The sequence below is a fragment of the Homo sapiens genome, chromosome 5 (genome assembly GCF_000001405.40).
Source record: "Homo sapiens chromosome 5, GRCh38.p14 Primary Assembly".
Taxonomy (NCBI): domain Eukaryota; kingdom Metazoa; phylum Chordata; class Mammalia; order Primates; family Hominidae; genus Homo; species Homo sapiens.
Window position 1 is genome coordinate 135,337,475 of NC_000005.10, and position 13,168 is coordinate 135,350,642.

At 48.1% G+C, this 13,168-nt stretch overlaps 1 protein-coding gene and 1 long non-coding RNA gene across 29 annotated transcripts in view, besides 1 other annotated feature; one reads left to right on the top strand and one right to left on the bottom strand.

Moving 5' to 3' along the window:
* The window catches only part of PITX1-AS1 (PITX1 antisense RNA 1), a 311,407-nt gene extending 304,201 nt beyond the window's left edge, over positions 1–7,206 (top strand). The window contains exons 5-6 of the long non-coding RNA NR_161235.1: positions 457–539; positions 5,681–7,206. This is a non-coding gene — a long non-coding RNA (PITX1 antisense RNA 1). The remainder of the gene's footprint in view (positions 1–456; positions 540–5,680) is intronic.
* MACROH2A1 (macroH2A.1 histone) overlaps positions 1–13,168 on the bottom strand; it is a 65,507-nt gene that overhangs the window by 3,094 nt on the left and 49,245 nt on the right. For 21 of the 28 annotated variants that reach the window (NR_174487.1, NR_174499.1, NR_174496.1 and 18 more), the window contains 2 exons: positions 8,494–8,583; positions 5,786–5,960 (listed from right to left, as the gene is read on the bottom strand). Coding sequence is in view for 9 of the 28 variants with exons in the window: in XM_011543730.4 (XP_011542032.1) it covers positions 5,786–5,960; positions 8,494–8,583 (265 nt within the window). In the remaining 19 variants the exon portion in view is untranslated. Of the gene's footprint in view, positions 1–1,953; positions 2,102–5,785; positions 5,961–8,493; positions 8,584–13,168 lie in introns of all 28 variants that reach the window. The other 7 variants (NR_174486.1, NR_174497.1, NR_174498.1 and 4 more) reach the window with 1 other exon arrangement.
* Positions 4,965–6,164: an enhancer, noted in NCBI's record as "CDK7 strongly-dependent group 2 enhancer chr5:134678129-134679328 (GRCh37/hg19 assembly coordinates)". NCBI's record gives its function as "activates an origin of replication core promoter dependent on BRD2, BRD4, P300/CBP, MED14 and CDK7 cofactors, with strong dependence on CDK7, by STARR-seq in HCT116 cells {active_cell/tissue: HCT116}" and the evidence as "EXISTENCE:reporter gene assay evidence [ECO:0000049][PMID:35650434]".

The following is a 13,168-nucleotide window of genomic DNA, read 5'->3' on the forward strand; positions in this document are numbered from 1 at the left end:
TCCTGAGGCTTTCCTTGCCTCTGCCTTGGACCCTTACAAAAGAGTATGTGACTTTCAGTGAGGAAATATTCTTTTCTATTCCTCTACATCAATAGTTCTCAAGCTTTAGCCTGCATCAGAATTCTGGAGAGCTTGTCAAAACACAACAGTTTGATTCAGCAGGTCTAGCAGCTTTTGAGAACTGCTGTTCTACAAATAGCCAGCATGGACTTTATAATCCAAGCTGGCAGGGTGGACCCAGATGTTGAGGATCTGCAAGTGGGGGAGAGAGGTCAGTATCAAATGTTTTAGACTTGCAGTGCCCACACCTGCCTACCGTCCCGTTAATAGAGAGCAGACGGTTCCACCGGAATGTCCCTGGCCTTGCAAGCATTTCAGGGTTGTTGGTGGGTGAACATGAATCTGGATTTGTTTCCAGGACAACCCTTTGTTGACAAATCCATCCCTCTGTCCTAGGAAGCTACAGCCTAAGGAAGAAACCCTGCTATGGGACTGTGGCTGCTCTGGACTGCGCAGGCTGCCAGGAAGGAATGGCGGAGGTAACGGCTTTCCTAACGTTTTCTGGTGGGCCTCAAAATGTCTTGCTGCCAGTTAGAATGCTTGTAGCAAAATGGAATGTGTAGGTGGATGCCCTGCAAGAGCACTCCACACACAGCCCTGCAGCCTCCAGACAGAGGCAGCGGTGGCACATGCAGCAGCTGAGGCAGGTCAGACCCAGGTCTGCCTCTGAGGCTTGGGTGGCCTGACAGCCCTACTCCCTCCAGGGTAGAGAAGCAGAGTGGTTAAGAGCTCAGGATTTCCCGGAGTCACACAGGATTTGAGTTGTGGTCCCACTTCGGTGCCTTGTTTCCCCATCCTGTGAAATGGAATCAGAGTCTGGGACAAGAAAATGCAAAGCACCGGGGCATGGCACAGAGAGTCTTCAGTTAAGAGGAGCTGTCTATAAAGTAGGTGGCTTTGAAGGGTCTTTTAAAAGGCTCATGCAGTAGAAAACTGCCCCTTCCACCCTCGTCCCTGGGATAGCTGTGACTGGGTAACTGCTGTTGTCGTTGCAGTTACACGGTGCTAACAATGTTGGCCTCAGACCCCAGAGAGCTGCTGGCCGTGACCGTGGGCATGCAGCAGCAGGGGCTACATAGAGGCTCCCCAGTGCAGTACTGACTGCTTTCAGGAGCAGTCATGCCCACTGGTGTTGCATCTTTGGCTTCTCAGCTGGGTTCACTTGCTACTTGCATAACCACGGCCCCTCTGAATAGCCATTCCTGCCTGGCCTGGCCTCTGTGCCAGCCACTCTGTCCTACAGCTGTGCTGCCTATCTTTCAGATCAGATGTTGCAGAGCAAGAGGGACTAAGGGCTTCCACTCTAGAGTCAGAATTGGGTTTGAATCCCAGCTGCTTTGGGCCAGGGTGTTAACCTCTCTAAGCATTAATTTCCTCCACTAGAAATTAGGTGTTTCAGGGGTCTGTGCAGTGATGACAATGGTGGTGATGATGAGGCTGCCAGTACTGCGGCCACCATCAGCCCCACCTGGGAGATGCGTGCACTGTTTGTTGTTTCCACTCTCTCTTCAGCCCCTGACCTGGCCTGTGGGTTGTGTTTATGGCATGTTCCTTAAGTTCCTCTGGAGTCAAGAGTTTCCTACACCATAGGGCTAGGACCTTAAGCAGACTAAAGAGACATCTGAGCTTTCCCTAAATTCACTCCAGTTGTGTCTGTAATGCCCTTTGCCTTTCCCAAGAGTCCTGGACCTCAGTTTCCCAGGGCCAGTGCAAGATGCCCTCTTGGGTCAGCCTCCTCAGTAATGGCTGGGGGGTGTACGCATTGGATGCTTGTCCCACGGTCCTGTCTGGACACGCAGGGACTCTAGGTGCACCAAGGACCACATCCCAGCTCTTCTCAGCCCTCTCCTTGAGTGGGACTTCACTAAGCACCCCTGCTCTCAGTGAGCTCACCTTCCAGGGCTGGGGCCAGGCAGGTATGCAGCAAATCCAGGCTAGGAGCTCATTAGGGACCTCAGAGAGTCACAGCAGGAGAGGCTGTATCCTGGGAGTCCAGGGAGATTTTTCTGGAGCAGACAGATTGCGAGCTTGCAATTGACGGCTGGGGAGGAGTAGAGGTGGATTCTGGTATTCTTTGTCTGTCACTTAGGGTATAGACATTCTTCTGCTAAGATTAGGTCCCCCTCGCACTGTGCTGTGGGCTGCTCTTAGGCCTTTACCATTTTTTAGTAATTGCCAGGTTGAAGTTGCCCCAGCCACAGGCCACTTTGATCCAAGTCATCAGGATCCTGAGCCGAGAGCAATGGTATACAGGAGGGAGAACATTCAGAAGCGATGGTGATGGGGCCACCACTCCCCTGAGCTGTGCCCCCTGCAGCTAGAGAGGGGATGGGGCAGCCCCAAAGTGGCCTCCCACTCCAGGCCCCCGGGCTTTGGGTAAATGAAAAATTCTCCCCCATTCAAAGGTCTCTTGAGTTTCTGTCCTTTTATCTCACCTCTGAGGCCAATGCTTAGGAGGGGAAAGAGGCTGATGGCTATACTTGGGCAGGTCAGGGAGTTCCCAGGTAGTGTTTTATGCACAGAGAGTACGCAGGCAGGGGGCAGTCCTATGGTGGGATGAGGTGGTGGGACCTGGGGTCTGGCTGACCAATGGAGATGGGAGGCAGGGGTTCCATGAGCCTAACAGCTCTGAAGCGAAGGGCTTCTGATCAAATTCTCACTCTACCAAGTACAAGTTGAGTGACCTCAGATGATTTACTTAACCCCTCTATGCTTCAGTTTCTTTGCCCTTGAAAGGAATAATGCTGTTCACCTTGTAGGGTTGCTGTGAGATAATGCAGATAAAGGGTTTAGCACCGCGCCTGGGGCTCAACACATACCCATAAATAGTAGCTTGAAAAAAATAAACCAGCTTTTCCTTTTAAGCTTATAAATCTAAGGAAAGTTTAATCAAAGCCCCAAACTAGTATTCCCTATGTACTACCCCTCTGGAGAGGGGTCACCCCTAATGTGAAACAGAGCTGAGGGAGTGGGGGTATCCATAAATATCGTGACCAGAATGGCTGAGGACAGGATGTCCAGATGCCAGGGCCTCACAGGCTGGAGGGAGCCATCACACAGGTGTGGTTATGGTCATCTTCCATCCATGTAGGCTGTGCCACTGGGCCTCAGCTAAGAGAGTGATCCTTTACCAATGGCTCTTTCCCAACATGCTTACCTTTATACTGTTTTAATTCCAACATTACTTCCGTGCCAGAGACACTGGATGCAACAAACAAGCTGTTTTATTTCCCCTCCTAAAACCCACTGTGATTTACTGGCCGGCTCTGGTGTAATCCCATTTTTTTTTACTCATGAAAGAGAGGGCAGCTGTTTACACAGCTCTATGGGGTGAGGTCTGCCTGGCAGATGTGGCCTGGGTAGCTGTACACATGTGCTGCCTTAGGCATTTCCCCCTCTTCAAGCTTTCAATTGATTATTTTTATTCCTACTTTTTACTCCATGAAAAATGTAAATAAGTTTGTAATAACAGATGCTCTTTTATGAGAATTACTTTTATGCTTCAATTAAAAATTTCCCAATACCCATATGAAAGGTTGTGAAATTATTACCTCCAATAAAGTTTCCTATTGCCTCCCTCTGCGGAAGCACCTTTCATCAGAGCAGATCAAAGTGCATTGAAAGCACTAATTAACTGAGCCTCAGAACCATTTGTGAGGATGGGCAGTCCCTATAGCCTCACTTGCTGATAAGGCAGACCAGGGCAGAGAGGCTGATTCATTTAACCAAAGGTCACACAGGATAGGAGAGCTGAGGGGCCTCACTCACAGAACCCCAGGACCAGACAGCCCAGAGATGTGAGGCCAGGGAAGGGGGAGGCAAGCCTGCCCATAGCTCAACAACTGGTGAGGGGTTGCTGGGGAAATGCTCATTCTGCTGTTTTGCCCTTGACTGGGAGAAGTGGGGGTGGCGGCGGGTGGCGGGCAGTGATACAGGCTCCAGAGAAGGTTCAGGTGCAACCAGAGATCTTTCCCCAGAGCCTGGTACTGGTGGGTCCTGCCAGTCACACATGGCCTTGGCCATAGAAAGCCCTGGGGAACGGTGGCAGTGCCCATCTGCCTGTGGACAAGGCCTTTTACTAGGCAGAATGTCAAGTGACAGGAAGCCCACTCTGTACTAGTTCTGCCACCAGTACTTGAGGTGTGGGACCTCAGTGATGGCAGCATGCAGGAGGCAAAATCACGAGGCCTGCCTAAGCGGAAAATGGCAAAATCTACTCTCTATCCTCTAGAAAGTTTGGAAGGAAAGTGCTTTGCAGAGAGCAGCTGTCAGTTCAGGACATGGTTCTGAGGACTGTTGCTCAGGCTCGCCCAGAAGGGACAGCCTGCAGTGTCATAGGCAGTTGATGCTGCACAGCCCTGCCTTCCTTGGGTGCTGGGAGGGGCTGATGGGCAGAGACCCCAGAAGGCTCACAAGCTGGGATGGGAAGCCCCAGGAGCAGTGGCAGGTACTCTGTCCAAAGCAAGCCACCTGCCAATACAGAACCCCAGGTTATGGCTCCTCTTGGGCGCAAGTTGTTAACAGCTACAGCCTCTAAAGGCCAGTTTCTCTTTGCTTCAGTGCCCAATGCAGACCTCGAGCCTTCCAGAGGCCTTGGACTCTTGGACTTAGACCCTTGGTAGGGAGGACCCTAGCAATGGGCAGTGGGACACAATCTCAGAGGTGGCTCTGCCCTGACAGGTCCTCATGTCTGCATCATGGGACACACTTCTGAAAGCACTCTGCCTTCTAAGAGCTCCTTTAATTTCTAGAGCAACCCTGAGATACTGCATGGGGGGATTATTATGCCAACTTCTCAGAATGGGGGTTAATTTACATGTCATCACTCACCGGGTTAGTGGCCAAGCCAGGATGCAACTCCAGGCCTGACCCCTAAGCCAGAGTGCAGTGCTGCTCCAACAGGCAGGAACCTGATAGGTTATTTGCTGACATGTGTGGGGTGTACAACCAGGTAGGTATTGTGGGGGTTGCCCTGAGCCCTACCTGCATCATCAGCTGTCGAAAAACTAGACTTCTCCTGTGGTGGTCCTCCGGGTATGTGTATGTCTTAGGGGCAACTGTGTTGGTCGTGAAGACCTTGGTGAGTCTACCTGGGGATTTTCTGGGACAGGAAGTGGAGTAGGGCCCAGCCCTGTTTCAATCTCACGTAATTCCCCATTCCGTTCCACCAGGTCCCATTACCTCATTAGCAGGCCAGCAGGGTTACCCTAGGGCAGTAAGACAGGGAGTCAGGTAGAGATGCAGGTTCTCAGGAGGTGAAATATACTTGTGAGTAGAAAGGAAAGGGGCAGAGGGCTTTATCCAAAGAATACTGTGGTTTGGGGGACAGACCATAACACAGCTATAGCCTTATTCTGAGACAGCCAAGCTGTTCGTTTGTATCCCTGTATTCACGCCTCCAGATCTTCTCCACCCAAGTCACTGTGCCCCTCAAAACTTACTCTCTGAGGTACCATTTCTGTGGTCCCAGTACACACTGGGTTCCCCTTCTGTGATGACATTTGCTATCAAAACTTAAGTTTTATATCATCCTTGGGATTTGGGTCTCTCTAATTGTCCCTCACCATCATTTAATGTCTGCATTCTTCCCTGTGTTGTGCTTCTGGTCTCCTTGGTTAAGGCAGCCTCCGTGGGCCTTGCACAGAGTGAGAGCACCACAATTATGGGCCATGTGTGCGCAGAGAGACACACCCATGACCGATACGTAACAAGCATGTGCCCCTACCTGCCGCTGCCGATGGATGGAAATGCAATGGATTTCAGCTTCTTATCATCAGCCAGGGCCAAGCAGTTTTTCACTGTCTTTTCCAGAAGTTCTTCACACTTGTCTGCACCCCAAACTGGACTATTACAGTGGATCACAAACTTGGCAGGCAGGCCATGGCCTGCGCTGACAGCAGCTAGTGGTGCGGGGATGAAACAGAAACAGTGAGCTCTGGTTCACTGCAAAGCACAAGATGCCAAACACAGACCCACTCCCCTGCCACGGTATATCTTCCTGGGCCCTCCAATGCCCTGTGTCCGAGGAGTTCCACAGCTGTCTGCTGCGTTGTGATTCCAACGTGAGCTGGAGCCAAGCCACACCCTTGGAAAGTTGGCATTATGATGTGTCACCACCAGGAATTTTGACCAAGTTCGTAGTAAGCCTCTCTCCACTCTCAGAAAGCATACACGGTTCTCCCAGAGGCAGAGCCTTATCCATCAAAACTCAACTGAACGCAAACTCAACGTGTCAGAACATTTGCAGCCTCAAAATAATTGTTTTGGGTTTCCAACCCTTCTTCTTCAAGTCGACTGGTGTGCTAATTATCGACTTGCACACCAATATGATGTATTTGTCTCTACTATGATGTATTCTCTAAATCTCCCAAACCCAATTCAGGACAAAGCTACTAGGAAAGCAACTGCTTTAAATGATCTGCTAAGCAACCTGACCAGCATCTCCACTCTGCCATTGTCTTCTCCCTGCTGAGGATGGCCTCACTGTGTGAATAACGGATCCTGTTTATTTGTGGCAGAATTAGATTAGTTTTTAAGGAACTGTGTTTTTCTTTTCCTAGAAGAGGGGCCCCTTTCTAGCTATACATCTCCACCAAAGACTTGCCTTTCCCTTGCCAGATCTAAGGACACAGGCCTGGGGTCTGCCACAAACTGCAAAGTACCATGTCTCCCAGAGCATGTTCCAGAACCCCTGTCCACAGATGCTCTGCAAAGAAGGTTTCCAGGGCACTGGGTTTAGCTGCATGCTACGCTTCTATACAAGAGCACACCAGAGTCTCCACACCACTGCTAAAGTAAAACATCCAAACTTTTTGTATTTGGTTGGCTATTTCTGAAACTTTTTTTTTTTTTAAGGAATATCTGTCCAAGGGGTATGGTTTGTTATGGTCGTGTCATAGATACTGGAGAAGGAGCGATTTGTGGGTAGTGTCTCATGGTACAGTGGAAACAGCTCAGTCACAGGGTGTGAATTTGAGTCCTGGCTCTGCTTTGTGACTGGGCTTGAGAACTCTGGGCTGACCTATAAAAACCTGACATTGGGGGTTGAATTAAACCAGTGGGTTTGTCCCCATGAGAAGTCATGGCTAAACTATGCATAGAAAACGACTGGAAAGAAACATTAACAGTGACTATCTTTGCACAGTGGAACAGGAGTATGTTTTATTCACCTCTTTATACTTTCAAAAATATTTTAAAGCAGTTTCTAAAATAGCCCTTAAAATCAAGAACAAAAGTGTTATTGAAACAAGCAAAAATATCTTGAACCATGCTATACCTAATGGGTTTGCATCTGCTGTGGCTGAGGTTTCCCCAGCAGAGTTTGGTACATGGCAGCACCAGGCTGCCTACCAGGCCTTGTGCCAAGGGCTACCAGCAGGACTCAAGCTGGAACCCCGATGGGAAAGGACCCACAGGCTGGTCAAACAGGTGTTTTAAAGGGCCTGGGGAAAGGCCAGCTGCCCCTGGCTAGGTAGTTAAAACTGTGTATGCCTTCCCTTGTACAATGTGGGACTTTGGTGGAACTGCCTGGGAGAACTTCATAATTACTACCCTGTATGTCATGCCCCTTGCAGGTAAAACAGAAGTGGCAGAGCAGAGGTCAAAGGCACAGATCAGCAAAGGGAATCCTACTGGATCCTGAGACTAGCCTGGAAGGGGTGTCATTTGTCACTGGGAATAGAGGTGCACGGCCTGGTGGACCCTCCGAGAGAGCTTAAGATTCATTTTTAAAACAGAGGATTTAAAAGACACAATAGGCATTGGAATCGGGTAGTAAGAAGAGAAAACCAGAGCCCCAAGTGAGGAAGTGGGTGATCTGTCCTCACACAGTTGGTGGGGGAGCTGGGCCTCCCCACTGACTGGACTCTCAGGTCCTTAGGAGGTGCTCTGTCCTGCACACCCCAAATGACCACCTAAATTCAGGCCTGAAGCAGTAAGAAGTACCCTGCCTCCAGGTCTTAGCAATAATTCTCCCCACATCAGATGCCAAGTCGTTTTCTTCCCCTTATACCAGGGAAGGTGTAATTGGCAAATGAGAAATGTGTATTTATATGTTTCCTCTTACACACACAGATGGCTGAAGATTTTTAATTTGTATCTCTCACCAGCAGTTTTGCAGATGGCTCAGTATCACTCACTCTCAGCTCTTAGATGTACCAAACTCAGCTCCTATAATTTCTTAAAATTTGTGATCTAGACATCAAACATATAGGAGCTATTTTAAGTAATAAAAAAAAATGCAAAGGTGATTTTCCCAGACAACCTGCATGTGGTGAAACTCTAAGATGTAAAGCTACAGGCTGTCCTTGGCCTCCATCTTGAAGATGCGGCTGTGCTGCCACACACCTCTGAATTCTAAGCCCTCTCACAAAATGGCTTTCCTAATACTGCATGTGTCACAACCAGATAAGCACGGTGGCTTTCCCACCTCACCTCCAGCTACTTCCAAGGGCCCGTTCTTTTTCCGGAGTTCCAGGACAGCTTCCACAAACTCCTTGCCACCTTTCTTCTCCAGCGTGTTTCCTAGACAAGGACAGGGTGGGGTCAGGTTGCCATTCTGTGTCTCCGGCACACACAGACACTTAGCATGTCAGGTGATTACATACTTCAAATGATCTATTAAATTTCCATCAGGCTGCAAAACAGGAACTAAGCCTTGGCTAAGTTAATAAAGTAAAATTGAGAAGGGCTTTGTCATCACCAGTTACTACCCTCAAATTGCTGCTTCATCTGGCTGTCTCTGCTGCCCCTTATTTGGGTCTGACTCAGGGTGATCATGGATGTGCCAGAGATGTGAAAGAGACAGGACATGCTTGTTTTTTGCAAACATGCTTGTCCTGGATGCTTTTCATTGGCATGAGATACTAGCTGGTACTGGTTTCCAAGACTAATGCCTGCCTTAGGTTTTCTTCTCTGTCTCTGGGGAGAACCCCCAAGTAAGGAGGTTTCAGCAGCATACAATGCTCCCATCAATAAGCCAGCTCTCCTCCTGGCAGCAGGCCTAGAAGGAAGTGTTCATACCTGGCCACCTTTGGACCAGCATTATTACCATGCTTAGTTCCTGTTTTGCAGCTTTGGTGTCATATGCAAATACAAAATAAAAATGGCCTCAGACGGTATTTTCTTAATTACACTAATGATTCAGAATTGTTTTCAGTAAAGAAGGGCAACATCAGAAGCAGAGCTTAAAGATTAATCTGTGTTCTATAAAAAGCTTGGAAAGGAGGATGTCTAACTGCTCAGGACCAGATTTTTCACAAAAGCCAATGGAGATTGGGAGCAATGTGTTTTCTTCAATTAGGGCACTTGCTAAGTAATCAGTTCCTGCTGTGAAAACCAAGTTCCCAAACAAGATCACCAACACCTATGAGAACTCTGGGTTGATGCTCATGTGGGATAGCAAGTGGCAATCAAAGTTAGCAACAAGATCAGCCTTTCAAGTTTGGCCAGAATGGGGTCTGAGTCTTCCTTAAGCTCTGATTCCTCAGTTTTGCACATTTTAAAGTACTTTTCCTCACAAGAGGACAAAATACTCCCCTTAAGATTCACATCTGTCTTGGAAAATTCCAGGTGCACCTGGCACAATTCTGGTATGGGACGGTCAAGGTGCATCGGAATGCACCAGCCCAAATTCTCTTTGGAGTCACCCTGCGATGACCAGGGTTAATTATCTTAGTGAAACTTGCCTCCTTTGAATGTTTGTTCTGCAGGGGTGAACTAACCCCGGGAGGTGTCTGGGAAGAAGAGTAAATAGCTTGGGCTTTGTCCCAAATAAGAACCAGGGCTAATGGCTAGGACTGGGCCTGTACCCACCCGCTGTAGGAAACCTGGGGTGTGCAGATGAACATGACCAGCAGCCATAGCCCAGGGGAGCTCTCAGCTGTGTCCGAGAGAGGGTGGCACAAACTTAGCATCCTTGAGGTGGGATTTTGTGTTACCCTTCATGATCTCAGACTGCCCTCCTGCCTCTACCTGTCCTGGAAAGCAGCACAGGCTTTAAATGGCAGAGTGAGAATGTCACACCTGTTGCTGCTGCATGTTTCTAGTAAAGTCAGCATCAGAGGTGGCAGCTGAATGGGGCATGCACTGGAGGAAGCAGGCCGGGGGCTTAGAGCCCAACTCCACCACTACAAAGTGGATGCAACCCAGGCGAGTGAGACCCCAATACAGGTTCACCTAAACTATCCCTGCAGCTGAGAAAAAGGAATCTGGAGCCGGAACCAGCTGGATTCCACACACTGCTGCCCCTGGGGCCCAGTCTAGCCTTCTGTCTTAAACCCATTCTCCAGCTTGAGGCAGGGCAACAAAAATGCTGGAGGCTGGACTAGTTAGCATTCTCAGTCTTTATCAGATTAACTCTTTGGTGAGAACTGAGAAATTTGAAAGGTAAAATAATGTTTTTACTTTATCATGATTACCAACTCCTTTCTAAAATATTTAAGAAAATGGGCTGATCTATAATTAAAGGTGTTTTATCTTAGGAAGAGTGTTTAAAATTTTTACTTATAAATATTGCTTTAAGTAAAAGTGAAATTTCCAAGTTAAAATACACTTAAATGCATTTCCCAAACTTAAAAACTGAACCCTAGATTGCAGGCAATCAACCCAGTCAGGACTTGACTCCTACACACACATATGTATGCACATGTTCATGTAGACACACATGTACTTTTTAACAAGAAACAGGCCCATTTTCAACCATATTGTCAACACTCTTATTGTAAGACTCTTGCTTTTTAGGCTTAACTTCAGGGTTAATCATAAAGCAATTGGCTTATTTGCCCCCAAGCATAAACATGTGTTACTCCCATGAGAACAAGGACATTATTTCATGCTTAGAAAGCAGGCATAAGTATCAGTGTTCAAAACAGCCTAAGCGAAAATTTAGGCTTGGACAAATGTCAGGCTAGGCCTGTGGTCTATTTCACTGTTAGAAAGAACTTTTGATGGGTAAAAGTTAATCACTGGGGCTAAGCATTCCTGCACTCGGATTCCTTCTTCCAGCAGTCTCAGGACTTCACACCAAATATGAGAAATGGAGTGATTACTAGCTTCCTCTTTTCTCCTCTCACACATCAAAGTGGGAGCTGGAACCAATTGAGGCCATGTAGGAATCTGGTTTATCATTGGGATTGTAAAAGATATCTGGGGTCAATACTGGTTTGGACTGGTCCGCTGGGCAGAAAAGCCCTGAAGGGCTTTGGAAGACTGGGTTCTGACCTGGCAGTCTTTCTGCCTTGGCCAGTTGGGGTGTCTGAACCTGCTGAGGATTTCTGCAGGTGTTACAGTGTCGGTGAATGATGTGTGCCAGGGTCCTGGGCCCAGATTGCTCCTGTGGCTTGGAAGCTAATAATTCCCCACCCTGTGCCTATCAATGAGTTGTAGGTGAACATGTCAGAGGAAAAGCATTAGCACCATCCTTATTCCAAAGAGACCCATTCCAGTCACAATTCAGGAAGGACTGGGCTCTTCTGGGTGGCACAGCTGGGTCTGCCTGTTACTTCCTCAAGGCTTCAGCCCTATCTCAAAGCTGCAACTCTGCCTCCTGGCATGGCTAATCCTGCTGGGCACGGCCTTCCTCAGGCTGCAGCAGGCAGGCCAACTTTCTCCTCTCCCTGGACCTGGGTAAGATACTTTTGCCTGGAAAGTTTCATAATTCCCATTTCACCAAATGTCCTGAATGGCAGGATGAACCCAGGCCTTAGTCACTCCCAGCTATGACAAAGACAAGCCCTTAGCTGTTCATTTATTTTTCTCTAAATAAGTACTTCCTTTCTATCAAATTTTCATTTGGTTTAAAAAGGAAGCATCTTTCCCTTAAGCTGCCTGACTTTGGAGCTCTTTAACTCCTCCAAAGTCTTGTGAAAGGGGAGTTTAACTGCTTACAGCCCGATTTCATTTTGGCCTGGCAGACTTGGCAAATTCTGACTTTCCATCCAGTTTGTCTTTCCATCCATGTCCAAAATCCAAAGTGCCCAGGAGAGTGATTAGTCCAAATTGCAGTGGCTGGGGAAGACTGAACAGCAGTCTTTGCTAGTGATGCCAAGCAGAGCCAGGCAGCCAGAGATTGTGAGCTACTGCACATCTAGCATCCAGGACGCTTGTGAAAATCCTGATCTCCTCATCCTTCCAGATGACTTCACTGTCTGCTGACTGGAAATGTAACCATTCTCTTTGGAAGCTGGTATTTGAATCCACACTCAGAGGGCTGCTCTCAGGACCAGTACATTTACTATAAAAATTATATATACACATGAGTGATACCTTACAGCAGGCACCAATCATGAGCCAGGCTTTACAAAACAAGGTGCTTTGCTTACATTTAATGTAATTCCCATCATTACCATTACTTAATAGATAGGGAACCTGAAGCACTGAGGAGTTAAGTGACTTGACCAGGCCCTATGATCAGTAAATGGTGACAGTAGGATTCCAGTTCCTTCCACCTAGCTCTAAAGCTGTGCTTTTTTTCTATCACACATGGGTGCCTCCCCCTCAGGTCCCTCAGTGTGTTCTTAAAGCAGGACACTATTTGATACTCCTGCCAGGAATCTGCAGCCTCAGGATATGGCATCTCAAGTGCCCTCTTTCTTGGCCACCCTCAGCTATTTAGCACACCAGGAATCAACCAACAATGCCTTATCAGCTGCCAAGGGAAAGGAAGGTGCTTTCTGGGTCTAGGATGATGTTTCTCATGAGTGGTCTAAGGATACCATGTCAGATTGAGGTGATTTTCATGTACCTGAAGTCTGAGAACCCTAAGTGTGGGCAAGCATTTGGAAAGGGTCCTCCTTGTGCACCTGAGGCTTTAAGGCCATTTTCAGGAACAAGTGTGCTTCTGACATGGAGACAGATTGGCGGGGGTCAGGGGAGTGGGGGTGGTGACCTGTGCACAGGCATATGTGTCTGTCTGCTCTTCAGAGTGCATGGAGATGGTCTTGGTTGTCACTCAGTCCATGTGCCTGTATTGTTCCTGCAGCTGAAATCATCTGTGAACCCAGTCTCCAACAAAGCTGTGCCTTGTGGGGCAGGTGAAGAAACGATTCTGCTGAACCAGTTTTCAAACCAGAAATGTCCATTTGTGAGCTGCATCAGCCAGGATGCATGA